The sequence below is a fragment of the Homo sapiens genome, chromosome 11, assembly GCF_000001405.40.
Source record: "Homo sapiens chromosome 11, GRCh38.p14 Primary Assembly".
Lineage (NCBI taxonomy): Eukaryota > Metazoa > Chordata > Mammalia > Primates > Hominidae > Homo > Homo sapiens.
Genome location: NC_000011.10, coordinates 59,236,262 through 59,264,224, shown reverse-complemented (window position 1 = coordinate 59,264,224; position 27,963 = coordinate 59,236,262). Strand labels below are relative to the sequence as shown.

General features: G+C 42.1%; 2 pseudogenes, besides 2 other annotated features; one reads left to right on the top strand and one right to left on the bottom strand.

Moving 5' to 3' along the window:
• Positions 21-521: an enhancer, noted in NCBI's record as "H3K4me1 hESC enhancer chr11:59031177-59031677 (GRCh37/hg19 assembly coordinates)". NCBI's record gives its function as "activates a minimal SCP1, AML or CMV promoter by ChIP-STARR-seq in naive H9 embryonic stem cells {active_cell/tissue: H9 hESC(naive)}" and the evidence as "EXISTENCE:reporter gene assay evidence [ECO:0000049][PMID:30033119]".
• SLC25A47P1 (solute carrier family 25 member 47 pseudogene 1) lies at positions 519-825 on the top strand (annotated as a pseudogene).
• Positions 522-1,022: an enhancer, noted in NCBI's record as "H3K4me1 hESC enhancer chr11:59030676-59031176 (GRCh37/hg19 assembly coordinates)". NCBI's record gives its function as "activates a minimal SCP1, AML or CMV promoter by ChIP-STARR-seq in naive H9 embryonic stem cells {active_cell/tissue: H9 hESC(naive)}" and the evidence as "EXISTENCE:reporter gene assay evidence [ECO:0000049][PMID:30033119]".
• On the bottom strand, positions 4,725-8,848 carry WARS1P1 (tryptophanyl-tRNA synthetase 1 pseudogene 1; annotated as a pseudogene).

Genomic DNA, 27,963 nt, shown 5'->3' with positions numbered 1-27,963 from the left:
TGAACACAAGCCCCCAGCACATTGGCAGCAGAGCTGAGTCCTGCTGGTTGTATTCACAGAGTCTACTGCCTGCCAGGCAGGGCTGCAGAGCTTTGTATCTGCTGACTCCGCTGTCCTCCCAATGGCCGTGTCGTGTTAGGTCATAGAATTTCCATTTTACAGATGAGGAAACTGAGGCCCACACAGATGAAGGGATCCATCCGGGTCATGTAGTTAGAAGTGGATTAGTGGAGACCTGGGTAGCCTGACTCAGAGCCTCTGGCCACCCGCGGCTGCCTGACCAGCATGGGGTGCCGTGGATATCCACGAAGGGCAACGGATCCCTCCATGCCAGGTGGCATGGCATTCAAGACACATGGGTAGGGAGAGGGAAAGGAAGCAAATGGCAAACCTGCAGCATCTCAGGGCTCAGGCTCCCCAAGGTCACCATGGGTAACACGAGGCCTGTGGGAGGCCAGGCGCAGGCTGTGGGCAGAGCTGTAGGTGCCATCTTATCCCTGCCTTCTCCTCCTCTGCAGGTGTTCCTGGCCTCGCCCACTGAGGTGGCTAAGGTCTGCCTGCAGACACAGATGCAGCAGTTGCGGCCCTTGGCCTCGGGGCCTTTGTCTGTGCCCCTCGTGTGTCCTGTGTCTCCTGTATGTTCAGTGTCCAAGTACCATGGGCTGCTGCACTGCCTGGCCATGGTGGCCCATGAGGAGGGGCTGCACAGCCTCTACAAGAGCAGCTCAGCCCTGCTTTTCTGGGACAGCCACTCCTTTGCCACCTACTTCTTCTCCTATGCTGCCCTCTGTGGGTGGCTCGGCCCCACTGGCCATAGCCAGCCAGGTGAGCAGGGGCTGGGACTTGGAAGGGTGGGGACCCCAGTGGGATGAGGAGGCCCAGGTGAGGTCATGCCACATGGCAGTACCTGAGTAGGAACTTGAACCCGGCCTCCTGCCTCCCAGGGTGTGATCTTTGTTTCCCTCAACACTAAGAGACAGCAGGGAGGGGCGAGCAGACTCATGCCAGTGCGTCTGAAGCTCCAGCCCTCCCTTTCCTGGTGCCACATGGCATCCAGTGATGGGGGCCATCATGGGCCAGGGCTGGCAGGTCCAGTGTGAAGCCACCAGGTCTCCACCACAGCAGCCCCCTGGCAGGGCTGGGAGCCACCTGCCTTCACTACATTCCCTCACGGACACTGATCTTGAGGTATCTGTGGGCTGTATGCTGTCCCATGTTCTGCTGAACAAAACTGATTCCGGAACAAGAGGTGGACCCCCTCCTGAGCCTGCCCCTGTCACACTGGTCTCTGTATGTGTGGTGCTGTGGGCACCAGACCTTATGTCCTGTGCCCTGTGCCAGGAACACCCTCTTCCTGCTCGGCCTGGCTGGTTCTACATCCCAGGCGTCACCTCCTCCAGGAAGCTCTCCCTGCCTGACCACCAGGCTTCTCCCAGGTGTCTCCTGCTCTGCTCTCTTGAGGCCCTGTCTGGGTGTGTGGTCACTTGTCTACCTGCCCTCCTCCCACAAGAGCCTGTGAGCAGTGTAAGGACTTCATCTGGCTCCAGGGCTGGTGCACAGTATGTGCTCAGAGGGTGTGGAATGAATGAATGAGTGAATGAATGAATGAAGTCCTGCAGTGGATTCCTGGGAGTGTGTCCAGCTTAGGAGATGCAGAGGCTGAGATGCTCTGGCCAAATGCTGGGAAAGGGAGGCAGCTAAGAGAGAGTTTCCACTGTTCATCAAATGCTGACCCCAGGACCACTTTGTCAAGAAGACCACACCTGCTCGGGCTTGGAAGGAGGGTTCCTGGTAGCACTCCTGGCCCAGCTCCAGCAGCAGCTGCACCCTGGGAGGTGGGGGCCTTTGGCTTCCCTGAGCCTGTGTCACTGAGCAGCTGGCTCCATGTGTGTCCGGAGCGCTGTCACTGGGGAGGGGGTGCAGGTTGTACAGGAGCGGCCCCTGTACTCATTGTCTCTACAACCTCTACCGTAATGATCAGAGATTACTGGGCCTGCGGCAAGGCCCAGCCAGCGTGGCCCTGGGGAGAACACATCACATCTGCTGGTGCTGCAGGCGGGGGCTGGGGGCCAGAGGCAGACCTGTTTCTCCCCGAGCACTATCCTGGAGCGGCAAGCTGTTCTGCAGCTGTCCCTGTGTGCTCAGCCACCCTCTACCTTGGATCCCCGCTCCCCTACCCATTGCTCTTCATACACCGTACCCTTTCAGACAAAGTTGGCTGGTCTCCCTTCCAGGCTGGGGACCACAGGGCAGCAAGGCCAAGCTTGGTCAGTACCACATCTGTCTGACAAGAGGACATTACCAGCTGGAGTAGGAGTGCTCTTCCGGCAGAGCCTACGGCACCATGGTGGTGCTGGCAGCCGGCCTCACACCTCATCTCCAAATACCTGCGGGGCCACTGCTCCTGTCCGTCCTAATCCAGATGTGCCCTTGTCTCTCAGGGAAAAATTCTCTCGGAAACCCCTGGACTTTAGCAAAATGGGGGAGGTATGGGAGGTGTGCAGCCCTCCTCTGCCCTGACCAGCGGTGGCCTTGGGCAAGTCACCTGACTATTGGACCCAGGGCACCCCTCCTAATACCCTAAATAGGAGGCATCACTGCTTTTTACAGGGGAGAAGATGGAGGTCCCAGGAAGTTAAGTGACCTGTCCAAAGTCACACAGCTGATGAGGGAAGAAGCTGGTCTGTGTTGGCTCACTCCCTTCTGGGCCCACAGCCCTGCCCAGGCCCTGCCAATAGACACTCTGGCTGGGTGGACCATGACAGCAGCAGCTGTCATTGACTTCACTTGTTGTCCCTCATTGCACCTGCCCCACAGGTACAATGGAGCTACAATAAGTTGTATTAGTTGCCCAGGGCAACATGGCTGGTGAGATGCTATCTTCTGTAAGTGGTTCACTCCCACTGGCCACAGCCAGCCAGGTGAGCAGAGGCTGGGCCTGGGAAGGCAGGGAGAAGGGCTCAGCCCAGCAGGAATCAAGGCTGGGAAAGGAGGCCTACGTGAGGTCATGCTGCACACCAGTACCCAAGTGGGACTTGAACCCAGGCGTCCAGCCTCCCAGGACTGGAACCTTAATTCCCTTATTTGTAAAATGGTGCTCCTGTGTATCTGTGTGGAGACAGAAGCACCAAGAGCCAGGACAGGCTCACTGTGTCAGAGTCACCCTGTGGCCTTGGACAAGCCATGTTCCCCTCTCCTAAGCCTCAGTTTCCCCACCTGCAAAATGAGGATAGTCCGGTATAGTGAGCCCAAGTCTCCCTTGCAGCTTGGACTCTGCCCTGGGCCTCATGTGAATGGGGCCTGGCCTGGCTCCCAGCCTGTGCTCCCCATCACTACACAGCCCCACCAAGCACCCCATGGCTGGCCCCTCCTCTGAGAAACAAGGACAACCTCTACTTGTGTTCTCCACCAGCTGTTGGGAATGTGAAATGAGGTGTGAGAGGGAGCCCGCACCAAGACACTGCTAACGGCTGTCCCAGCACAAGCCCATTCCTGGGAGCCTACGACTCGGCACGGTGGGGTTCCCGGGATTGTGCGTTTTCCCCAGATTTTGACCCCAGCAGACTCAAGGCCATCCATGAAGAGGGGAAGGGAGGGGACTTTGTTCCCTCCTCAGACCTCCCAGACAGAGCACAGCACCTCGTGCGGGAGCCAAAGAAGTTTATTTACTCCAAGGGGCGGCAGGAAGGCAGAGCGCTCAAGAGGAGAGACCCAGATATATCGACCAGGGGCTCCCCTGAAATTTGGAATTTCTCTTCCAAGCCTGAACATGGCATGTGATTAAATGCAGCCTGTCCAGACACCAGTGAGGGCCTCTAGGGCTGCTTGTGTGACTTTCTTCCTAGCTACGTCCACCCATCCCGGACACAGCCAGTGCATTGCTCTGTACTGACTTCCATTGCGGTCAATTGTCAAAATGAAACATTTGCAGAGGTAATGACTGCTCAGCATCTGACACAGTCAGGGGAAAAGACACCGCTGACTCTGCAGGATGGAGGGTCTAGGATCCATTGGCGGGAAAACACTAGTCAAGGGAAATGAGCATGATTTCCGGAGTAGAATACATGCATGGTCTGGAGTTAAGTAAACCGGAAAGTTTCACCCCCAAGACTCAATTTAATAAAAACTGCCCAACTCTGTTCACTCTTTATGATTAAAAGCAGCTTTAAAGCTGGCTGATTTCTTAGTCAAATGTGTAGCAAAGCTTTTACCTATCAATTTTTTTCGTGGTGAGTCATGGGCTGAAATACATCTTGCGCTCAATAAACTTCCCCACATCAACATTTCAAAGCACTTTTTAGGTTACAATAATGATATTTCACTTCCATATATGCATACATAGAATATATATTTTAAAATAGAGTGGGTTTTAAGAGTATACTGGGAGCCCTAGGAGTCTTCTATGGACAGAACAGGTTGGCCCATGGACTTCCAGCCAAAGGCTCCATGCCTTGGGGCTGCTTTGGGGGAGAGATTCACAGCTGGACTTCTCTATCTGACCATGCAATGTCAGCACCAATCACCCACAATGTTTTGCCCTCAAGAGACAGAAATAATGAAACTCAGAGGAATAAACAGTATTGATAACATACACAGGCTTAGAGAAACCAAGCCCAGTAATGATCATGTGACGGAAGACTACAGGTAGCGGTACTTTGATTGGGCTGGGATTATTGATAAATCACGTCTCTTTATAAGCATATATAAAATGAGCACGACTGAACTCATTCGTTAGTGAACTCTTTCACTAACTCGTCCATGACCTCCTTGCACTGGGCTTGGTGCTCTGTAATCACGGGCTGGAGAACCTCTATGAGCATCTTCTTGAGGTCACCAGTGAGCATGTCTCTGCTGGTGTCATCCTGCCCTCAAAAAGACAGCCATGGTGAGAGATGGCTCCACATGCCCTAAGTGGCTTCTTCCTGCCTCAGACACCAGGTCAGCCCACACCACCCTTGCAGAGCCAGGCGTGCAAGTGGCACTTAGAAGTGAAATCTGTTGTTACCATGACAAACAGCTGTACCTTCAGCTACACTTTTCTTAAAACAACTAGAAACCTGGCTGTGGCAGTAGCCATAACTTGGTCTCTCATAGTGAAAGGGCCAATGAGGAGGGCAGTCCCCACCTCCACCGACGCTAGGGACTGCTCCCCCAAGCATAAACAACAATAATTCCTGGCAGCCTTATGGCCTCTGTAAAATCTTGCTGATGTTTTTCTTTTTCTGATTGTAGTACATGCTCATTAAACAAATTTAATAAGGTACCCAAACCACAAAACAGCAGCAAACTGAAGAAAAAAATCACCTACAATTCCAGTGCCCAGAGGTGGGGCCCACTGCTAACATTTGGCACATTTTCTTTACATTTCGTTCCCTGTGCATTTCATTTAAACAATTAACCTCTCACTGCATTTTTCATTTGGTGTTCTTTTTTCATTATCCTAGGCATATTCTCCTGTGTCACTAAAGTCTTTTTTTTGTTTGTTTTTTGTTTTGTTAAAGAAATGAGTGTCTCATTATGTTGCCCAGGCTGGATTTGAACTCCTGAGCTCAAGGGATCCTCCCGTCTCAGCCTTCCAAGTAGCTGGGACTACAGATGTGTGCCACCATACCCTGCATATGAAAACTCTTTTAAAATAGTTCATGTCCCCATAATAACCTATCCTGTAACAATTCTAATTTAACATTTCCTCTGTTATACAGTTTCTTTTGAACTTTTTGCTATTATCATTTTAATGTCTTGGTGTGGAAAGCTTTTACATATTCAGGATTATTTCCTTGGAAAAAATTCCAAGATTTGGAAAACTGAGGCAAAGCTCTGAACATTTTTGGGCTCTTTGTACCTGGTACCAAACTGCTCACTGAGGCTGTGTGGATGAACACTCACATGGGTGTGCCTTGAAGCATCTGGTTTACAATCATTGAAAACACAGTCAAGGGCAACACAAAAACTCTGGTAATTCTATAGTGAATTGTCTCAGCTTTGATCATGTTAACTTATGTTTCTCTGGTGACTAGTAAGATGAGACTGTTTTGTGTGGCTACTAAATAAATAGTAATTTATATCTGCCCTTTTGCGATTTGTTCACGAGGTTTCTGAGCACATGTTTAAAAAACGTGAATGCCTCTACTCAGTTTTCATCTTGTTTCAGTTGAGCACCTGTTCCTAAGGCCCAGGCACCAGTTCCCAAGGCTCCTACAAACCCTTAATGCCCAGCTGTTGGAGCTTCCAGGACCCATATGCAGGAGTGGGTGGTTGGAAATGGGATGACTGGGTCCTTGGGGCTCCCTGCTCACCTTCCTCATCTGCTCGAGCTTGTCTTCATCCTTGAGGAAGGTCAAGTACATGAAAGACACGTCCACAACACAGTTGCCCCCAAAGTGCCTGTGCTCCTCGATGGTGTCTCTCTCTCCAGAAAATGCATGCTTACTGATCTGCACCAGAAGAGAACACAGAACCACTCATGAGTCCTGCTCATCCTGTGCCTGGAAACTGGCTAGGGGCCCAAGTGTGGAAGTCAAAGGTGTGAGTGCTGTCACATTCTGGACCATAGAAAGGCCAAGGTGCACAGCCGGCAGCCCCACCATTGTTCCTTCCTGCAAAGCCTGAGCTACCATGGGGCTCACTGCAGGAGAGGCGGGGGGCAGATTAGCTTTGTGCTCCCCCATCGTCAGAGATACAGGAGACTAGAGTTGGGAAAGCCAAAGCACTAATTGAACTGAAACTTGGGAGAGGAGTTTGGGAGATCCTCCTGCCTCGGCACTTTGGGAGGCAGAGGTGGGAGGATTGATTGAGGCCAGGAGGTCAAGACCAGCCTGGGCAACTTAGTGAGACATAGTGAGCCCCTGTCTCTACAAAAACAATTAAGGAATTAGCTGGTGTGGTGACATGCACCCAAAGTCCTAGGAGAGTGAGGTGGAAGGATCACTTGAGCCCAGGAGTTCGAGGTTACAGTGTACTATGACTGTACCACTGCACTCCAGCCTGGGTTACAGGGCAAGATCCTGTTTCTAAAAAAATAAATAAATAAAAGAAAAAGGATGAGTAAGCCATCCTCAGAGGAAAGGAGATGGCAGGGAGGGCAGCTGGCTCTTTGGGACAGGTAGTGGGGTGTTAACAGGGGACAGAAAAGCAGCACCCAACCCAACTGGCTTCTGCCTTCTCCACCATGGAAAGCAGAACAAGAAGGCACGAGAATAAGGCAATAAGGGAAAGCAAAACCCACCAAAAGTGAACAGGTAGAAAGGGCCTGCAGGCAGGTCTCCGCTTAAAAACAGGCAAAGTTTAGGAGCTGAAAAATTCTAAAACTAACGAAATGACTTTTAGGAATCATTGAAGATAATCATGGCGTAATTAGGGCTAAGAGGTGGGAAAAATAAAAGTCAGCAAAGATTGGCACAATTCCTTCAACATTCTTTCAATGAGCATTTGAGAAAGCTCTAATATACAAAGATCATACAAATTTTCTTTTTTTTTTTTTTTTGAGGCAGGGTCTCTTCTCTGTCACCCAAGCTGGAGTACAGTGGTACGATCACCGCTCACTGCAGCCTTGACCTCTGGGGCTCAGGTGACTCTCCTGCCTCAGCCTCCCAAGGAGAATTCCAGAGCAGATTCTTAACTGGATAACTTGGGATCGTGTAGAAGGAGCAGACGAATGTTGGGGCAAAGGCACAGGTCTCTATCTTGGCAGGGCACTGCCCAGAAGCTAGGCAGAGAAAGCAGCAGTCATGGGAGAGGCTCAGGCAAGGCCCTGCAGGAGGGGCTGGCACCATGTAGGCTGGCTGGTGGGTGGGCCTGCGGGGCTGAAAAAAAAATAGCAAATGGATGTTTATCTTCCCTTTCCTTAAGAAAAAAATAAAAAGGAAAAGAAAAAGAAAAGAAAAAAAAAAAGAGAAGGCCTTCTCTCATCTTTAAAAGGATTAGCCCTGCTACCTCCCAGTGAGAATTAAAAATGAGATAACATAAATAAGGCACCCGGTCCAGCCCCTGGAACACAGCTGATGATCAGAAATATACAAAACTCATTTTCATTGTTTAATAATATCCACATTAATTATAACTTTAAGAACATCGTCGTGACTTTGCTTCTAGTACAGCGTTGGTAAGAAAAGCAGAAAAGGAAAAAAAAATTGTCTGGGCGTGGTGGCTCATGCCTGTAATACAAGCATTTTGAGAGGCTGAGGCGGGCGGATCACCTGAGGTCAGGAGTTCGAGATCAACCTGGTCAACATGGAGAAACCCCGTCTCTACTAAAAAATACAAAAATTAACTGGGTGCAGGGCCTGGGGGGGCATGCCTGTAATCCCAGCTACTCAGGAGGCTGAGGCAGGAGATTCACTTAAACCCAGAAGGCAGAGGTTGCAGTAAGCCAAGATCATGCCACTGCACTCCAGCCTAGATGACAGAGTGAGACTCCATCTCAAAAAAAAAAAAGAAAGAAAGAAAGAAAGAAATTCAAAATGTTAGCTAAATGAAAGGACACAAAACAAATTCATGTGATACCTGGGAATAGGGACAAGGCTGCCTTGAGTTCTGCAGGGAGCATAGTTGGGAATCCTGGACTCCTGGAATTCAGCATCGCTATGGTGGCTGGGGCCCAAAGGACTGTGCAATGGTGTGTGTTTGTGTGTGTCCCCCCGGGGCATGTTTCTACTCCCACTGGCTGTCCTGTGCCCTGGGCACTGCTCACCTTGGTCTTGATCTGCATGGCCATGTTGGTGAGGAAGATAAAAGAGCTGGGGTCACTGGCACTCATTTTGTTCTGGATGCCCTGCAGGTCAGAGAAGAAGGAAGAATGCAGCAGGACGGGTTTAGGATATCCGATCCTGGGGGCGATGTCCCTTGTCATTCTAAAGTAAAGATCCTACGGGGAGAGTAAGGATCTTCGAATTTGTAACTGCAAGACCTAATGGAGGTTTGTGGTCTTAATTCACGCTACCTGTGCAGTTCAAGGAATCTTTAGCTGATAACTTATTTTAAAGTCCCAGGTTGTAAGTTCCCTCAAATGCTAGTCAAAGCAAATGCAAATTATCTCCAAATTCTTAAAAAAGAATCTTAAACCCAGACTCAAACAATTCTCCCAAATAACCTTCTAAGGAAAGTTGGGTTATACAAATGTCCAAGTATACAAGGAAACAAGATCTTATAAATGAAAACCAAGAAGGCATGGCAATATCGGACCCATAAAGACATCAAGAAAAGCAATTGTCTTAAATCATGAAATAGATGCTACTGACATGTCAAAGAAAGAAGATGGGAGCCTGTAATCCCAACACTTTGGGAGGCTGAGGCGGGCGGATCACAAGGTCAGGAGATCAAGACCATCCTGGCTAACATGGTGATACCCCGTCTCTACTAAAAATACAAAAAAAGAAAATTAGCGAGGAGTGGTGGCATGCACCTGTGGTCCCAGCTACTCGGGAGGCTGAGGCAGGAGAATCACTTGAACCCAGGAGGCGGAGGCTGCAGTGAGCCGAGATTGTGCCACTGCACACCAGCCTGGGTGACAGAGCGAGACTCTGTTTCAAAAAAAAAAAAAAGGGAAATAAAATATGTGGTTAAAAGAACAAGAAAATAAGGTTTACTAAGGATTTCTGCATCATGCAGAATGGTGAATTATATATATCTAAATGACTCTCCTGTCTGAAACAACTGACATGCTGGATTTGAAACAAAATCATCTTAAATATGTATTTCCACTTAGTGAAAATGAGGAATAAGCTGAGCCACCAATGATGTGAAACCAGGAAACCAGGGAAGTAAACAAGGGCCAAAAAAGGCTTTCATTTTTGGGAGTCTTGCTGAAGCTGGTGACCTGGAGATCCTGCTGTGTAGACTATGTGTGTGGTGAAGGGTCAGAAGATCAAGTTCAGGGAACACTCCAGGTAATCTTGAAGACAACCTGCAGAGAAAACCCAGAGGGCTATATCTTCATTGTAAATAAGCAAGAATTCCCGTAGATTATGTTCAAGAAAATAAACAAACAAGAAAAATGTTATAGCTAAGAGAAAAAGCAAACATATAGAGTCAAGCCCCTGTAACTGAGAATCAGCAGGGAAAAAAACAGGCCATATAAACAGACGTGCAAACCCTTCAGATACTAGAATTATGAAAAGCAATAAGGCAGTTGGGGCTAGTTATGGCAAAACACAGATTGAATCTCCCCTAGAAAGAGATATGGCCTCCCCAGAGAGGGAAATACTGAGAATAGGTAAGAGATCTGGTGGCTCAGAGCATTGAAAGCTGATTAATCAAAAGAAAGAGGATGGCATATCTGTTAAATGGTATATTATTTGGCCATAAAAAAGGAATAGAGTACTGGCACATACTACATACAACATGAATGAACCTTGAAAACATCATGCTAAGTGGAAAAGCCATTCACAAAGGACCATAGGTTGTAAGATTCCATTTCAATGAAGCCTTTAGAATAGACAGATATTTCAAGACAGAAAGAGGATTAGTGGTTGCCTTGGGATACGGTTGGGGAGAGAGTATGTGATTTCTTTCAATAGAAGTTTCTAAAATTAGATTTTGGTGATGATTTTAAAACTGTGAATAGACTAGAAACCATTGAATTGCACATTTTAAGTGGGTGTCTTTTATAATATATGAAGTATGCCTCAGTACAGAAGCTTAAAAAGAAAGAAAGAAAGAAACTTGAAAGTACACAGGACCAAAGGTGACATTCTTGGGAAGGCACCATTTCTGCGGTAGATGTTCCTTAGAGATTTTTAAATGGAAGGGAAAAAGGAAGCGAGCCGTGGAAATTAAACATCCTTAGAAAAATTTTAAAATCTAGTAAAATACTACTTCATTCTCTGTTCCTGAGTAAGTCACCATAAACAACAACAACAACAAAACCACCCTCTTTTTCTGATAGCAATGAAAGTGGGCACCCTTAAACTAAGAAACCTAGTACACTATTGTGTGGTCCCTGCGTAACCCTGCACAGTCTCAGACCTCAAGCTCCGGTAGAGCCATGATGAACCAAGACTGCCAGGATTCCAGCCATTCCCCACCTGTTACTATGGCATGGTCCAAATATATCATTCATCAACAAGACATGTATTGGGTAACTCCATGTTCTTGGGACAGAACTGAGTCAAATGATGAAGGAAAGAAAGGCAACACCTTAGAAGTAGAATGAATAAATTCACCACATTTCTTTGAAATAGCCATTTCTCTTTATGCATTCAAAGTATGGCTTGACTTGTAAGGATTTGAGTTCTATGGATTGTTAGGAATGTACTACATGGCTGTGAAGAAGACAATGTATGTATGTATGTATGTATGTATGTATGTATTTATTTATTTATTTATTTATTTTTGAGATGGAGTCTTGCTCTGTCCTTCAGGCTGGAGTGCAGTGGTGCGGTCTCGGCTCACTGCAACATTTGCCTCCCAGGTTCAAGCAATTCTCAGGCCTCAGACTCCCAAATAGGTGAGACCACAGATGCATGCCACCTTGCCTGGCTAATTTTTGTATTGTTTAGTGGAAACAGGGTTTTGCCATGTTAACCAGGTTGGCCTTGAACTCCAGATCTCAGGTGATCCACCTACCTCAGTTTCCCAAAGTGCTGGGATTTCAGGCGTGAGCCACAGCACCCACCCAAGAAGACCAAATTAACCAGTGAATATGAGGTGGCCTGTAAAATTGAACAAAGTATTATGTGTCTGGGTGTCTCCTAAAATGAGATACCACAATGTAAAACTTGTCAGTTTTTCAATAACCAGTAGCGGGAGGTCCATCCCAAGATGCTCCAGTAACAGAAAAGTTAACACAAAGGTGGTGGTGTGGCTAGAGGTAATGATAAAACTGCCTTTCATGGGCATAACTCTTTTAAAGTTTATATCCATGAACACTCGGTCTTCATGACAGCCTGGCTATGAGACCACATCTGATGGGCGAGGGAGTACAAGTTAGCTTGCATTTGCTGAAGATGACCTAGCTAATGATCAGCAGAGGAGGGGCCAGGCATGCCTGAGCACCAGGGTCACTCAAGGGGACAGAATGTTAACACCTTTCCACAATGGCCCTAACAAGATATTCTTTGTCTTAAATAGTTGACACTCCAGCTGGGATTATCTCTACAAATATCTTTTTTTTTTTTTTTTTTTTTTTGAGACGGAGTCTTGCTCTGTCGCCCAGGCCAGACTGCGGACTGCAGTGGCGCAATCTCGGCTCACTGCAAGCTCTCCGCTTCCCGGGTTCACGCCATTCTCCTGCCTCAGCCTCCCGAGTAGCTGGGACTACAGGCGCCCGCCACCGCGCCCGGCTAATTTTTTGTATTTTTAGTAGAGATGGGGTTTCACCTTGTTAGCCAGGATGGTCTCGATCTCCTGACCTCATGATCCACCCGCCTCGGCCTCCCAAAGTGCTGGGATTACAGGCGTGAGCCACCGCGCCCGGCCTATCTCTACAAATATCTTGGCATGAATGTCTGAAAGAGGCTGAATAAATCCACCTCTGCTCTGTTTCCAGAATTCTCTTTATCCAAAGGGTTTGCAACCTCTCAAGTCAGCCCCTTTTATCTTTGGATAAATATAAAAAAAATTTTGACTTTAAGAAAAATTCCTCCTTGAAATAAGCAGGAAGTTATTTCCAAGTAACTTCAACCTATGACTTCTCATCTGCAAAAGGAACGTTAAAATGTCCTCTCTTTCTACTTGACAAGTTGCAGAAAGAGGTGACATTCTGCTTGAAAAGGTGGGTAGAGACAAACAGCCTCAATGTCCTCACTTACCCTGTTCAGGAGGGAGACTATAGGCAGAGAGCCTATCAAAGCTGTGTTGAGCTTATGACCTACAGAACTATGACATAATACAAGTCTGTTGTTTTAAGCTGATAAATTTGTGTTAATCCATTATGCAGCAATAGAAAACTAATAATTCTCAGTGTGCATTTTATTATGCTTCTCTGTAAAGCTACTCCCTCCAAACTTTGCAGCTGATATCCTGATGAAGCTATTATTTTTTAAAAGTTCCTTTTTGGAAAAGTCATCCTATTCAATTCAGAAAACAGTCAGTGGGCATCTTTTTGATGTCAGGCACTGTGCTAAGCTCTGAAATATAAAGATGAATAAGAACTTTAACCCTAAAAGACCTCGAAGAGAAACTACACAAATAGACACGACTATTATCTGAATCAGAAAGTGCTGAGAACCATGAGGGCATAACAAGTACAAGGTATGAGAGTTCAGAAAAGGGAGAAATCATATCCTGTTAAGGGTGTCAAGAAAGGTTGTCTTGAGGTGGCTGTGGGGAAGAGGATAGGAAATCAAAAAGAGGCTCAGAAAAAATTCGAGGAAGCAGTGAATGTCCTTGTGGGAAAAGAGGGCTCATTTGAATAGCTAAGCCCACCAGCAGCCTGACTAAGCTTATGGATATCATGGGAAAAAAACAACATGGTGAGGGATGGTAGTGGGAATCACTGAGGGCTGGGATAATGAGCTTAGGAATTTGGGAGAGCCTGAGAAGCATGAAATCATGAAAACCAAGAATAGATTGGCTGGGAGTTGCAGAGTAGAACAGGCAGTTTTAGTAAAGGGAAATTTTAGAGTTTGAGATTTTGGAATTAAGCAATTTTCTATTATGGTGAGGGCTGGAATGGGGCTGCCAAGTCATATGACTGGGGTGGCATAGAATTTGAAGTTGGTGAGGCATCCCTTCAAGACAATGTACAGCCGGAGCACTAGAGGGACATCAACCTTAACATTGTCTGATGCATCTTTCTCATTGCCACCATACTTAGCACAGCACCATTAAACATAGAGGGCTAAACAAATGTCGACCTGAGAGGCATACAGAAAAATGAAACAATCACAGTGAGATAGTCAATCTAGATTTTTTTCTGCACTATGGAGCTTGAAATTTGGTCTTGAGGAGAGGCAATAAATGGGTAAGAAGGCATTCTTTGACATTACCAGCCAGGTGTAGTTGCTTTTAAATTTATTGAACTCATTGGTGAGCAACTTGAGAAGAGTGATGTCTTGAGACCTCAATCAAAGACATGATGTAGGCAGTGCACAGAAAGAACCTGGTTTTTGTTATTTTTTCTGTCATCCTGCCTCATCTGGCAGAGAAAATTTCAAGACTAATTTTAGATTTTCAGGAATAATTAATGATTCAGTAAAATAAACGGATACATCATGACCTATATCTTTGCCCCTCTTCCCTTCCCCAAACCATCAACATCCACGTAGACTGAGATGTCCTCACTTGTATGGCTTTTTATGGCATCCCATAGAATAGGTCTTTCTCACCATCTGGGAAGCAACTGGGCAGCCCTCTCCAGTGAACATTCACCAACCTAACTGACCGCCTCCAGCCACAACTGCCTCTCTTCCTTGAGATCGAGCCCTGCCAACAAAATGCCACTTTCAAGATCAAGCAAGTTCAGGGTAATTATACTTTTCCCAAGTCACATCAGCTCTGGATAATTTTCAGAGCTATTTCCAGGTCTATTTTAAGGGATAACTCGATGTCGCAATGCGTGAGAGTCAATTGGATACATGATTCCCAATGACTCCATGCTTGCCGTGTTCCTGGTCTCAGAAAGCTTTTCAAAGAAAAGCTCAGGGTGGGCTCTCTCAGCAGGGGATACCATATTATTATGGCTTCCCAGAAGAGGGCCTACCCCCGCCATCACTCCAAGCAGGATCAAAGAATCAGAGTCTCTTCAAAGAACAGACAGCAAGCACTATGGGTGGAAGGCCACAGATGCCCTACAGATGTGGTTGGGCAACTATTTTCTAGGTTTTACCAGGTTGGTTTATAAGTCTATCTGAAGACTGAGAACAGATTTCGGAGAACATCTTCTCCTATTTATTCTGGTTACAGCAAAATAAATAAATGAATGTTTATGTTACTTTCAATGAGCTAAAATAGTTATTTACAAAGACAGACAAGACCTGCTTTAAGCAAAAGTATAAAATTCTACAACTTTGTCCTCTGTGCCACCACCTCCCTCTTTAAGCCTCTCTCATCCTGATTCTGGGTTCTTTGTTCTTTCCATTACCACTTGCCTGCATTCTCATGCAGCTATCTTTTCCTGTGACTGTAGGCACTAGTTAAATTCTGGCCCTACCAATGACTGGCTGTGATCCAGTGAGCAGCCAAGGCAGAAAACCACTGCCTCAGAGTATCCCTCTCTGAAAAGCACTGAAGCCTTTGCAGCAGTCTTGAAACCTGTTCGAGTTTCCTCAATCTTGAGGATTCCTTCGTTTGACATTGCCAGCTGTTGTACCTACTCTTCCATTTTCTTCTCTCCTTCCACTGCTAAACTGGCATAACTTCCGTCAGTACCTGGCCTTGTTCAAATCCCCTCTGAGCTCCATTCCGGATATCCCTATCTGAGACCAATGAGTTCCACCCCTACCATTCTGTTGAAATTGCTCTGGGAAGACCACACCTCCCTTCCTTCTTGCCAAATCAATGGCCTTCTGTTTATATTTTCTCTCTTTGAGTTCCATGCCATGTTCATTAAGCATCACTGAGCAGTGACAGATTTGAGGATCAGGATAAGGAATTTGGATGTCATCAGGCCATCAGTGAACAAAAAAACTAATGAACGCTCTTGAGCAAAAAATGACATGATTGGATCTGTGCTTTAAGGAGGTCCATTTGCAGGTTAAGGAGGAAGAATTGAATTTGAGAGAGTCTGAAGGCGAATTATGAACAATCAGTTTAAAATTGCCTGAGTCCCCCCACAAAAAAATTCTTGGAGTTGGAGATGACATGAAAAGAGGGTTCTATTGATTCTACCGATAATGTTTCAAGTAGTATTAAAGAACAATCCATTCTGAAGGTGGGAGCAAGGGAGGCAGGAATTGTAAAGCACCATAGTCTTCTAGTTTACTATCCTCACACCCTTCAGTATGCAATAAGATATATAAAAAAAAAAAAGAGGATTCTTTAGGTTTAGGGTTTTTTTTTCCCTAAAAAAAGATTTAATTACAAACTACTGAATTGGCCATAGTAATCATTTCTCCAATATCTAGCCTCAGAGAGAGACCCCAAGAATGTAGGCATGATGCCCAGAGCTGGGAACTCGAGGAGGGAGTATAATTTGTTTAGCTTCACAGTAGGAGACTCTGGCCCTGGCAGAGGAGAAGCTGATGGGGTTTTGGGTGGAGAAGGGAAATTGTAACATTTTTCTCATCTGGATGCAAGTTGAAGAGCTGCCAACATCAACAGGGTGTGGCCACCATCTTTCACAAATCCTTGAAAGAAGCTGTGGTGTGCTGTGGGTTTACACAATGCCCACTTCCTTCTGTTTCTTGTATGTCCTCCCCAAGACACACAAATAGACTTCAAGTATTTTCAAGATGGATATTTGATAAATCAAAAACAAAACACGTACATGAGGGAAATCTGGCCTTAGTCAAACAGCAAGAGGTTATTTTTCTTTTAAACTCCCTGCCCACTGATCTTTTGAAAGATAAGTGTTATCAGGTGATTTTTTAAAAAAATTGCCATCCATTTCTCAGGTCCTTATAGGGGCAGTGGTGTATGGAGGAATGAGGATATTATGAAATAAAGTGTTACAAGAGGCCCTATGCACACAATAAAAAATGTTAGTACATGTCAATCTCCTTTCTTCTTTCTTTTTGTTTCACAGAATCAGAATCTCAGGATTTTAAGGAACCCATAAGGTTAACTAATTCAGATTGTCTTTTAAATCTTAAATCCTGTCACTGTCAAGTGTACCATCTTCTGCTTACACACGTCCAGTGATGAGAAATTTAAAGCTTTCTGGGCTATCCATTCTACTTTTGAACTATACTATTGTTTTCCTAAAATTCTCTCTCTCTCTCTCTCTGTCTATCTTTGTCAGAAGGGTTCTGTAAAATATCTAGTGCTTTACAAAGGTAACTGCTATTGTCTGAAATTGTCACATATTTTGGAGCCAAAAACCAGTCTCAGATTGCATTGACTCCAGGGATATATTATTGGAACCACACCAGGAACTAGGAATAACATGGAAGCTGAGCCAATGGAAATCAACTGTACCCAAACAAAGCTGGCATTTTCTTTATCCCTGAGCACAGGTAGCTACCCAAGATGCCCAGAGGTGCTCTCTGGGACATGCTGTACCCCACAACCTAAACAGAACCAGTGGTAACTGGGAGAGAACTGGCGTCTCTTTCAACCCCCACCAAGTCCTTCTCTTGGAGTTGGTAGCCAATTTAACATAGCTGCATCCAAATACTTTTTATCTCTTTGTCCAAAACATGTACTATGGGTGCTGGCAGAGATGGGTTTCATTCTTTTTCCAAGCATCTGATCTTAGCCATCTAACTGAAATGTAGAGCGTAAGGAGCTGTAAATGAGTCTGCCCCTTTTCTTTCCTTGGAATCATTACTGCTGAATCATAGAGTCACAGAATGGGAGAGTGAGAAACACTCATGAAGGTGGGGAAGTTGGAGCAGGCAAGATGCTGGGACCTTCTCTCCTACTCCTCTGACTTTGACCAGAAAGCTGGACTTTATCTATTTAATATTCTGAAATTCTGCAGAAAAAAATTTGTTTTTGCATTTCTTCTATTTACAAACGGAAGTAAGGAATAAAGGAATGTGGACTAGAAAATACTGATCTAACCTAATACTTTTATTGTCCATACAAGAGATGAGGAGATTAAGATTCAGAGAAGGAAATAATTTTTCCAACAGTCACATTACAAAGAAGCAGGAGAAATAGAACTTGAACAAGCATTTTTTTTTTCATTTAACTTTCAGGCTAGTTTTTTTTTTTTATTCTAGAGTCATGGGTATATGCAAGTGTGTATCTGCAATTTTTGAAAAACCATCTAGTTTACTTGGGGTCTTCTTTAGCTACCTTTGAGACTCTAGGTTTTAGAATAAGGTAAAGCAGAAAGAGCTTCTCTTGAAGATATAAAATATAGATGCTACTTTTTATATCTGGTACCAATAAATGGTACAGATCTTTACTTCATGTCTTTTTGCTTTAGTTTTATTACCTATGATGGGAAAGGCTAGGCTTGCTGGTTTCTAGCTCTGATATTACATTATTTTAGTGTTTTAGATCTATCCCAGAATTTTCTGGACGTCTATGCAATATTTAAAATAAGGAAGGCCCAGTGGTTTTAGGATTAGGACAAGTTTACAGTATCTACATAGTAATGATTTGATAACCCTTTATTTAAGCAGTGAACAAACTATTCATTGGACACACGTAATGTGCTAGGCACTGTAACAGAGGAGGGGACAGAAATGATCAAGGTAGACAGCACATTTCTTTTCCTCATGTCAGTCTTTCTATATTTTCTTCATCATACCCTAGAAAATCATCTGAACCATAAATGCCCACCACACTTCAAATATAGTGTTCATCTGGGAATTACCGCATTAGAACTTCATTCCTCTTTATCTTGCTATGCGGCTCAACCCTGCTAAAATGTAAATAGCCCTGCTGAGGTTGAGGACAAGAGAACTCTCCACAATCATTTTTGGAATTCAGATTCCACAGAACCAGCCTTGTCTAGTCACTTGGAATGGGAGAAAGATCATATATATTGCAGGTATATCTTTTCTTTTCTTTTTTTTTGAGATGAAGTCTCACTGTGTCTCCCAGGCTGGAGTGCAGTGGCACAATCTCGGCTCACTGCAACCTCCCCCTCCTGAGTTCAAGAGATTCTCCTGCCTCAGCCTCCTGAGTAGCTGGGATTACAGTGCCCAACACCACACCTGATTAATTTTTACATATTCTTTTAGTAGAGATGGGGTTTCACCATGTTGGCCAGGCTGGTCTCAAATTCCTGACCTCAAGCGATCTGCACTCCTCAGCCTCCCAAAATGCTGGGATTACAGGCATCAGCCACCATGCTCGGCCATTGCAGTTATATCAATAACATAGTCCTATTGTAACCAGTGGAGGGTGTCCAGGTTCTTAGCATTTTGAACAAAGAATTAGACAAAATGCATAAACAAAGCAATAAAAGAAAATTACAGATTGTTGAAATGAAAGTACACTCCACAGAGTGGGAGCTGGTTAAAGTAAGTGGCTCAAGAGCGATGGTTACAGAATTTTCTGGGATTTAAATACCCTCTAGAGGTTTCCCATTGGTTACTTGGTTTATACCCTATGTAAGTGAAGAGGATGAAGTGAAATTACAAAGTTATTGATTTGGTGTATACCCTATGCAAAAGAAGAGGATGTTTCCTGACATAGCTGAAGTCAAGTTACAAAGTTATTGACTTGGATATAGAAAGTTGGGGTTTCTATTTGATTTAGTTCTAGGAAGTCCTTAGATTCCCTGACTCCAGACCCTATTCTCCTGCCTCATTTCCCCCCTGAGAGACATGATCCCCATAAACCTTTATGGGAGGCAGAGGAACCAAGGGTCTTTCTTCTGTAACTGCTTCATGCTGACTTCGGGAGCAGTCCCTACATATTGGGGATCACAGTACTCTCATCCTGCTCTGTCTGGTGGGGACAGGGTAGCTTCTTGATGGCTGGTGGTGTCTTCACCTGGAACTGTGTGGAAACCTTCTCACATGATCATCTAAAGCTTAATGGTCTCTAGGCGAGAGGAAAAGAATTTGCTTAAAATATTTAACAAACGGCCGGGCGCGATGGCTTATGTCTGTAATCCCAGCACTTTGGGAGGCCGAGGCGGGCAGATCACGAGGTCAGGAGATCAAGACCATCCTGGCTAACATGGTGAAACCCCGTCTCTACTAAAAATACAATAAATTGGCCAGGCGTGGTGGCAGGTGCCTGTAGTCCCAGCTACTCGGGAGGCTGAGGCAGGAGAATGGCATGAACCCAGGAGGCAGTTAGAAGATCTAGTCTCCTTCTATTTTGCAAAGCAATCACTGCCAAGGGGTTTATTTGTTTTCATAATGTTACAATACTCTGGGCAATGTCATTCAAGCTTTCCATAAAACCCTTGGACAACCATTGGTAGTAGGATAGGGAAGTTGCAATCCCGCTAACTTCCAATCCTACTCCTGCTGTTATTAGTAGCCCTACAAAAAGGGGTATGAGTTGGATGGCTCATTTGTATCTGGTGGTTGCAGTTAAAGGTATAATAAGGAGTTGGTTGTTGGGAGCTATATTAATTTTGAGACATATAATAGTTCTGTCTCCAGTCCACCAGTTCCACCAAAGACAAATCACAGCAGAACCAATCTACCTGCAAAATAAGCTTCAGTCCCATATACTTGTCCTGATTACCCAGACAAAGTGCAACAAGAATCGTTGTGCATATAGTCTCTTCTAAACTGGCTTTCTTGGAACATCTCACAAGACCATGTCAGTCAAAGCCCTGAGAAAATAACCAGTTCCTTCAACTGTGTTACATTACAAAAGAAAACATGTGGTTATTTACTCTATGCAAACAAACCCATTGCCATGAATTAATGATATTCACAAATAGTTTACAAATTCTGGAGAAATTAGTCAGAGAGAGGGAAATGACTCAAATTCTGTTTAAAAAAGCATACTCAATACACTTAAAGTATATTTCAAGGCTATAAATAACTCAAAAGAAAAAGATTCTCCAGACTTTAGACACAAAACAAAAAGAATTGCAATATTTGGAACAACAAAAGCCATAAAAATAATTTCTGTCTTTCATTAGTTCAGTCCATGCAATCAACTCCTACTCTACTTCATGTTAGGTTAGCAATCTTTATGAACACACAGCCTTTCAATTGGTACCCTGGAAGTTTTCTCTCTAATTCAACGACACAATCTCCAAAGTTATCAGAAACTTGTATTCAAGAGTCCTTTCATGATTTCCTCCAGAGAAGCAAGCATTGGACTGCTTATTATAAGTCACATTTATTGAGAAGGATCAAAGCAAAACATCAATGATGGATGACAAAAGTCTTAAGACAGCCACAGATAAAAGACATAGTTGACAAGGAAATGTGGTATACAACAATATATGATTATTTTTTATTGTTACTGACAACCTATATTAAGACATATCAGAATTTTAGGAATCTCATATAATCCTGGAACACATATTAATAATACATCTATATAAATATAACTCAAAGGAAATGAAATACATCTCAGATTTGATAATGCTTCCTGTATAATTCTAACATTACAAATAAGTCTAATAAGCCCAACATGTCTCTCTTGAACTTCAGGAAACTTAAGATCCAAAAAATTTGAGGTCAAAAGACTGAATTTAAAACTCGAAAATTTGCTGTTGGAAAGTCTGTCAGATTTCAAAGGTCTCACTGACACTCAATATCACAAAACAAGATCACAAGTTACTATAAAATTGCCATTCAGATAGCCAAAATTATAATACAAAAACATTTACTCTTCCATAGAAAGGAAACACAGTTTCCCAAACAGTAAGACCTAATACTTAAGACAGCATGAGGCCAACTAAATCTGTCTCTTTCCCCTCCATTTTCTCCCTGCAGTTCACTCAAGAGGTAAACAAAATCTTTTATCTCTTAATATTTGAACAAACACTTTGTTCAAAAGTGAAAACCAAGATTTTACCTTTGTGTGGTGCATTACTAATGTTAAAACTAATTTTAATAAAACCTTATAAACAAATCTAATTTTAATCAGTTTGACCATAAGGCAAGATTTCCATAATTTTTTATCACCTTTTTCAATTTTCTATTAAACATCAGATCAATGCTCCAAGAAAGCCCTGTTATTGTAACACATGGGCCCAGATTCTGGTCTTTCATTAGTGTCCTTTTTATATTAATGTTTAATTATAGAAAATCTTTGAACTAATCTAGTCCATCAGATGGGCCCTTACAATCTCACAGGCCCACCTCTTCCATGATAGTCCTGGGGCCTAGAGGGATTGAATAGTTTAATTTCTAGTCTTGTGTTTCACAAAAGCAGTTCATTTTGATGGCGCTCTTCTCCTGAGTCTGATGATGATGCTTCAACTGGTGTTAATGTTCATAATTTAGCAGGGGTTATTGCCTTTTTCCAACCCAGGAGTCAAAGCCCTGTAACTTACCAGCACAAGCAGTAGTTAATAAGATATTTGTACTACAGAAAGTCTGATTATTCTCTTTAACATGTTACAAATTAAAACACTGTGATTTGGTGTTTAGGAGTTACTGCCTGTGGTACTTCAAACCATTGTATTAAAGTAGGTTACTCATTGCATATATCTAATTGCTAGCATTCTAGTGACAGAACTGTGACCAAAAACATCAAAAGTGTCATAGGTCCTATGCCAAACATATCAAAGTAAGACAACTAACTTTTCTCTCCATCATTAAAAGATGGTAAATGCAAATACTAGTATAAGGATAAAAAATCTCCTTTCACTTAAATGCTATACAACCAAACAAGAATGAAGTGAAAACAAACACAAAATAATTTCTTTTCAGCTATTTTAAAAGGGCATTATCACATATTTCCAAGATTGGCTTCTAGATAGAGCACTGACATCTAATTAGCTAACTTTCACCACCCAAATCTTCAAACCAGTCTAACACTTGCATATGTTTTGTTTTCAAGCACACACATCAAGGCCCATCAGTAGTAAATGGCTTGGGATAAAAAAAAATCACTAGGAAGTCTCATATTTTTATTGCTACTTAGTCCAATTGAGTGTCACTTAATTTTAATAATGGTGAATACAACTAGATTAGTTTGAGAGAAATCCCAATCAATATAATTTCTCTAATGACAAGGCCAATCTTTTTTGAATATTAAAACTTTGTAGCCATATCATAGTATTTCTTCATTACCTAAAGGGAAAGATGTGAAACCTACTCAAATTATTAATTGAATTGAATTACCTTGGAAATAAACATCATTTAAACATTTTTATTCTCACCTACTTTTTCAAATAATAAATAATGTACAATTTCTGTTCAGAACTTATTTAAAAATCTTTTATGTAATTTTCTTTTGCCAGGAGCATTAAAGCTCTCATAGCTCTCTAGATCATCAGAGGCCAGTAAAACCAAGTAAATTCTAAATGGCTGTTGTGCTCTGTCAATTCCTACAGGCCCAACAAATATAGCCTAGGAATTCCAGATAAAGAGAACAATTGATGACTTGCGAGAAATGCACAGGAAACAAAATAACTGTTCACAGAACAAAATAAAAACCTTCCCCCAGAAACTAAAAAAAAGCCACAATGGTTTTATATATATGAATACACAAGCCAACCCAAAGGAGAAAAAAACAGCAAACAAATGAAAATTTAGAAGCAAAAACAAATAAACAGAAAACCAACCCTAAATTTTTCCTACTCAGTTTATGTTGGAGGTTAACATGTTGCCTAGAGCCTAAAAAGCCTATAGAATGAATATTTTATTCCTGATACACAATTTAATATCTTTAAGTCTACCAATATCACAATAAATCCTGTGAAATCAAGATATTCACTCTAGGTACATGATCAGTAAATACTCCAGTGCCAGCAATATCCATGCAAAACAGTAAACATCATATGAAGCAATGCAAGCAGATATGTGAAATTTGGCTCTACACTAAATCTGGCTTCATGCTTATCTGCACTGAAAAAGAATCACCAAACTGCCAATGCATTTCTTTACAATATTTCTTATTTTACTTTAATCAAGACTAAGAGTTTTAAATATGAGAATGTTAATTAGCCAAATTTCTACAAATCCTTATCATGTTTTAAATAATATTTTATTATCTAAACTTTTTCAGCTTTCTAGTTTCACTCTATCTGCATGAAGATAGACACACAGAGAAACAAAAAAATTATATATGACTTACACAGACCATCCATGACATGCCTGGGCTTTCTGTTCAGTCCCAGATTTTCTTCTTCTTCTTTAGATAACCAGTCATTTTACTCTAGGCCAAAAAAATTTACCATACAAGATCCTTTCTCATAAAAATTATTACATTTTCTTTATAACCTTCCTTACCAAAAATACATCTTTGTAAGCATAACTGTCTTCCTATCTCTTTGACCTACTTACAGATTTCTTACTACCTTGTGTCATAAGTAACTTTTTCAAATATGTAAATTGAACTAACTTTTAATTTTTATTATTTTTCCCATTAATAGCACATCTTTTGGCACATTTTATGTATAGAATTATATATTAACTATAATTCTTGTCCTTAGTAGCCTTAACTTTTAGTGAAACCCTTAAAAGCAAGAAATCTTGAACTGTCAGATATGAGCATTTTATAGATAAAAACAATTCCACAATTTTTAGAAACATATTTCCCCATATCACAACCCTTTCATAATTGGAAGTGATCCAGATATTCAATGAGCATCAAAAATAATTTTCAGATTTTAAATTACACAAAAAGTTTACCTAAAACATTTATCCTATTTATAGGTACTCAATTATTTCATTTTTAACAGTTTATTTAGGTTACTTCTGAAAACTGAGGTGTTAGACACCATCATTTAAACTCAGACATTTCCTTGTTAACCATTTTATAATCTATGGATATCAAGTGTTCACTGAAATAAGAACCTTAAAGTGAATTACACAGACATTTTCACCAATAACAGAGAAGACTCAGCTGTTTTATTTTGTATTATGTTATTGTTTTAAGTTCTGGTGTACATGTGCAGGTTTGTTACATAGGTAAATATGTGCCACGGTGGTTTGCTGCCACCTATCAACCCATCACCTATGTATTAAGCCCAGTATGTATTAGCTATTTTCCCTAATGCTATCATCATCTGTGTCCTCCCCTGACAGGCCCCAGTGTGTGTTGTTCCCCTCCCCATGTTCGTGTGTTCTTATTGTTCAGCTTCCACTTATAAGTGAGAATATGCAGTGTTTGAGTTTTTGTTCCTGCATTAGTTTACTGAGGATAATGGCTTCTAGCTTTATCCATGTACCTGCAATGGACACGATCTCCTTTTGTTTATGGCTGCATAGTATTCCATGGTGTATATGTACCACATTTTCTTTATTCAGTCTATCATTGATGGGCATTTGGGTTGACTCCATGTTTTTGCTATTGTGAATAGTGCTGCATAAACATACACATGCATGTGTCTTTATAGTAGAAGTATTTATATTTCTTTGGACATATACCCACTAATAGGATTGCTGGGTCAAATGATATTTCTGGTTCTAAATCTTTGAGGAATCACCACATTGTCTTCCACAAAGGTTGAACATTACATTAAATTCCCACCAAATGTGTGTAAAAGCATTCCCACTTCTCCACAATTTAACTGGCATCTGTTGTTTCTTGACTTTTTAATAATCGCCATTCTGACTGATGTGAGAAGGGTGGTTTTGATTTGCATTTGATAATCAATGATAAGCTTTTTTCATATATTTGTTGGCCACATATATGTCTTCTTTTGAGAAGTGTCTGTTCATGTCCTTTGTCAACTTTTTAATGGGGTTGTTTGTTTTCTTGTAAATTTGCTTAAGTTCCTTGTAGACTCCGGATATTAGACCTTTGTCAGATGTATAGATTGCACAATTTTTCTCTCATTCTGTAGGTTTTCTGTTCACTCTGATGGTAGTTTCTTTTGCTGTGCAGAAGTTCTTTAGTTTAATTAGATCCCATTTGTCACTTTTTGCTTTTGTTGCTATTGCTTTTGGCAATTTCATCATAAAATCTTTCCCCATGCCTATGTCTTGAATTGCATTGCCTAGATTTTCTTCTAGAGTTTTTATAGTTTTGGGTTTTACTTTTAAGTCTTTAATCCAACTCGAGTCAATTTTTGTATAATGTGTAAAGAAGGAGTCCAGTTTCAATTTTCTGCATATGGCTAGCCAGTTTTCTCAGCAACATTTGCTAAATAGGGAATCATTTCCCCATTGCTTGTTTTTGTCAGGTTTATCAAAGATCAGATGGTTGTAGATGTGTGGGTTTATTTCTGAGTTCTCTATTTTGTTCCATTGGTCTATGTGCCTGTTTTTGTACCATTATCCTGTTGTTTTGTTTACTGTAGCCTTGTAGTATAGTTTAAAGTCAGGTAGCATGATGCCTCCAGATTTGTTCTTTTTGCTAAGGATTGTCCTGGCTATACGAGATGTTTTTTGGTTCCATATGAATTTTAAAATAGTTTTATTTTCTAATTCCATGAAGAATGTCAATGACAGTTAAATGGGAATAGCATTGTATCTGTAAATTTCTTTGGGCAGTATGGCCATTTACATGATATTGATTCCTTCTATCCATGAACATGGAATGTTTTTCCATCTGCTTGTGCCCTCTCTGGTTTCCTTGAGAAGTGGTTTGTAGTTCTCCTTGAAGAGGTCCTTTACTTCCTTTGTTAGCTGTATTCCTAGGTATTTTATTCTCTTTGTGGCAATTGTGAGTGGGAGTTCATTCATGATTTGGCTCTCTGCTTGTCTGTTGTTGGTGTATAGGAATGCTTGTGATTTTTGTACATTGATTTTGTATCCTGAGACTTTGCTGAAGTTGCTTATCAGTTTAAGAAGCTTTTGGGCTGAGTCAATTCAGTTTTCTAGATATAGGATCATGTCATCTGCAAACAGAGACAATTTGACTTCCTCTCTTCCTATTTTAATAACCTTTATTTCTTTCTATTGCCTGGTTGCCCTGGCCAGAACTTCTAATACTATGTTGAATAAGAGTGGTGAGAGAGGGCATCCTTGTCTTATGCAGTTTTCAAGGGGAATGCTTCTAGCTTTTGCCCATTCAGTATGATACTGGGTGTGGATTTGTCATAAATGGCTCTTATTATTTTGAGGTATGTTCTTTCAATACCTAGTTTATTGAAAGTTTTTAACATGAAGGGATGTTGAATTTTATAGAAGGCCTTCACTGCATCTATTGATATAATCATGTGATTTTTGTCTTTAGTTTTATTTATGTGATTAATTACATTTATTGATTTGTGTATGTTGAACCAGCCTTGCATCCTGGTGATCAAGCTGACTTGATTGTGGTGGATAAGCTTTTTGATGTGCTGCTGGATTCGGTTTGCCAGTATTTTATTGAGGATTTTTGTGTCAATGTTCATCAGGGATATTGGCCTGAAGTTTTCTTTTTTTGTTGCATCTCTGGTAGGTTTTAGTATCAGGATGATGCTGGCCTTATAAAATGAGTTATTGAGGAGTCCCTTCTTTTCAATTGTTTGGAATAGTTTCAGAAGAAATGGTACCACCTCCTCTTTGTACCTCTTATATAATTCAGCTATAAATCTATCTGGACCTGTGCTTTTTTCTTTTTTTTCGATTGGTAGGCTATTCATTACTGCTTCCATTTCAGAACTTGTGATTGGTTTATTCAGGGGTTCAACTTCTTACTGGTTCAGTCTTGGGAAGGTGTACATGTTTGGGAATTTATCCATTTCTTCTATTTTTTTAGTTTATTTTGCATAGAGGTTTTCATAGTATTCTCTGATGATGGTTTGTATTTCTGTGGGTCATTGGTGGTATCCCCCTTATCATTTCTGATTGTTTGTTTGAGTCTTCTCTCTTCTTTATTAGTCTAGCTAGAAGTCTATCTATTTCATTGATTTTTTTCAAAAAACCAGCTCCTGGATTTGTTAATTTTTTGAAGGGTTTTTCATGTCTCTGTCTCCTTCAGTTTGCTCTGAGGTGGTTATTTCTTGTCTTCTTCTAGCTCTGGAGTTTATTTGCTCTTGGTTCTCTAGTTCTTTTAGTTATGATGTTAGGGTGTTGATCTGAAATCTTTCTAGCTTTTTGATGTGGGCATTTAGTGATCTAAATTTGCCTCTTAACACTGCTTTAGCTGCATCCCAGAGATTCTGGTACATTGTCTCTTTGTTCTCATTAGTTTCAAAGTACTTCTTGATTTCTGCCTTAATTTCATTATTTATCCAGAAGTCATTCAAGAGCAGATTCAATTTCTATATAGTTGTTTGGTTTTGAGAGGGTTTCTTAATCTTGAGTTCTAATTTGATTGTACTGTGGTCTGAGAGACTGTTTCTTATGATTTCAGCTCTCTTGCCTTTGCTGAGGAGTATTTTACTTCCAATCATGTGATCACTTTTAGATTAAGTGCCATGTGGCACCAAGAAAAATGTATATT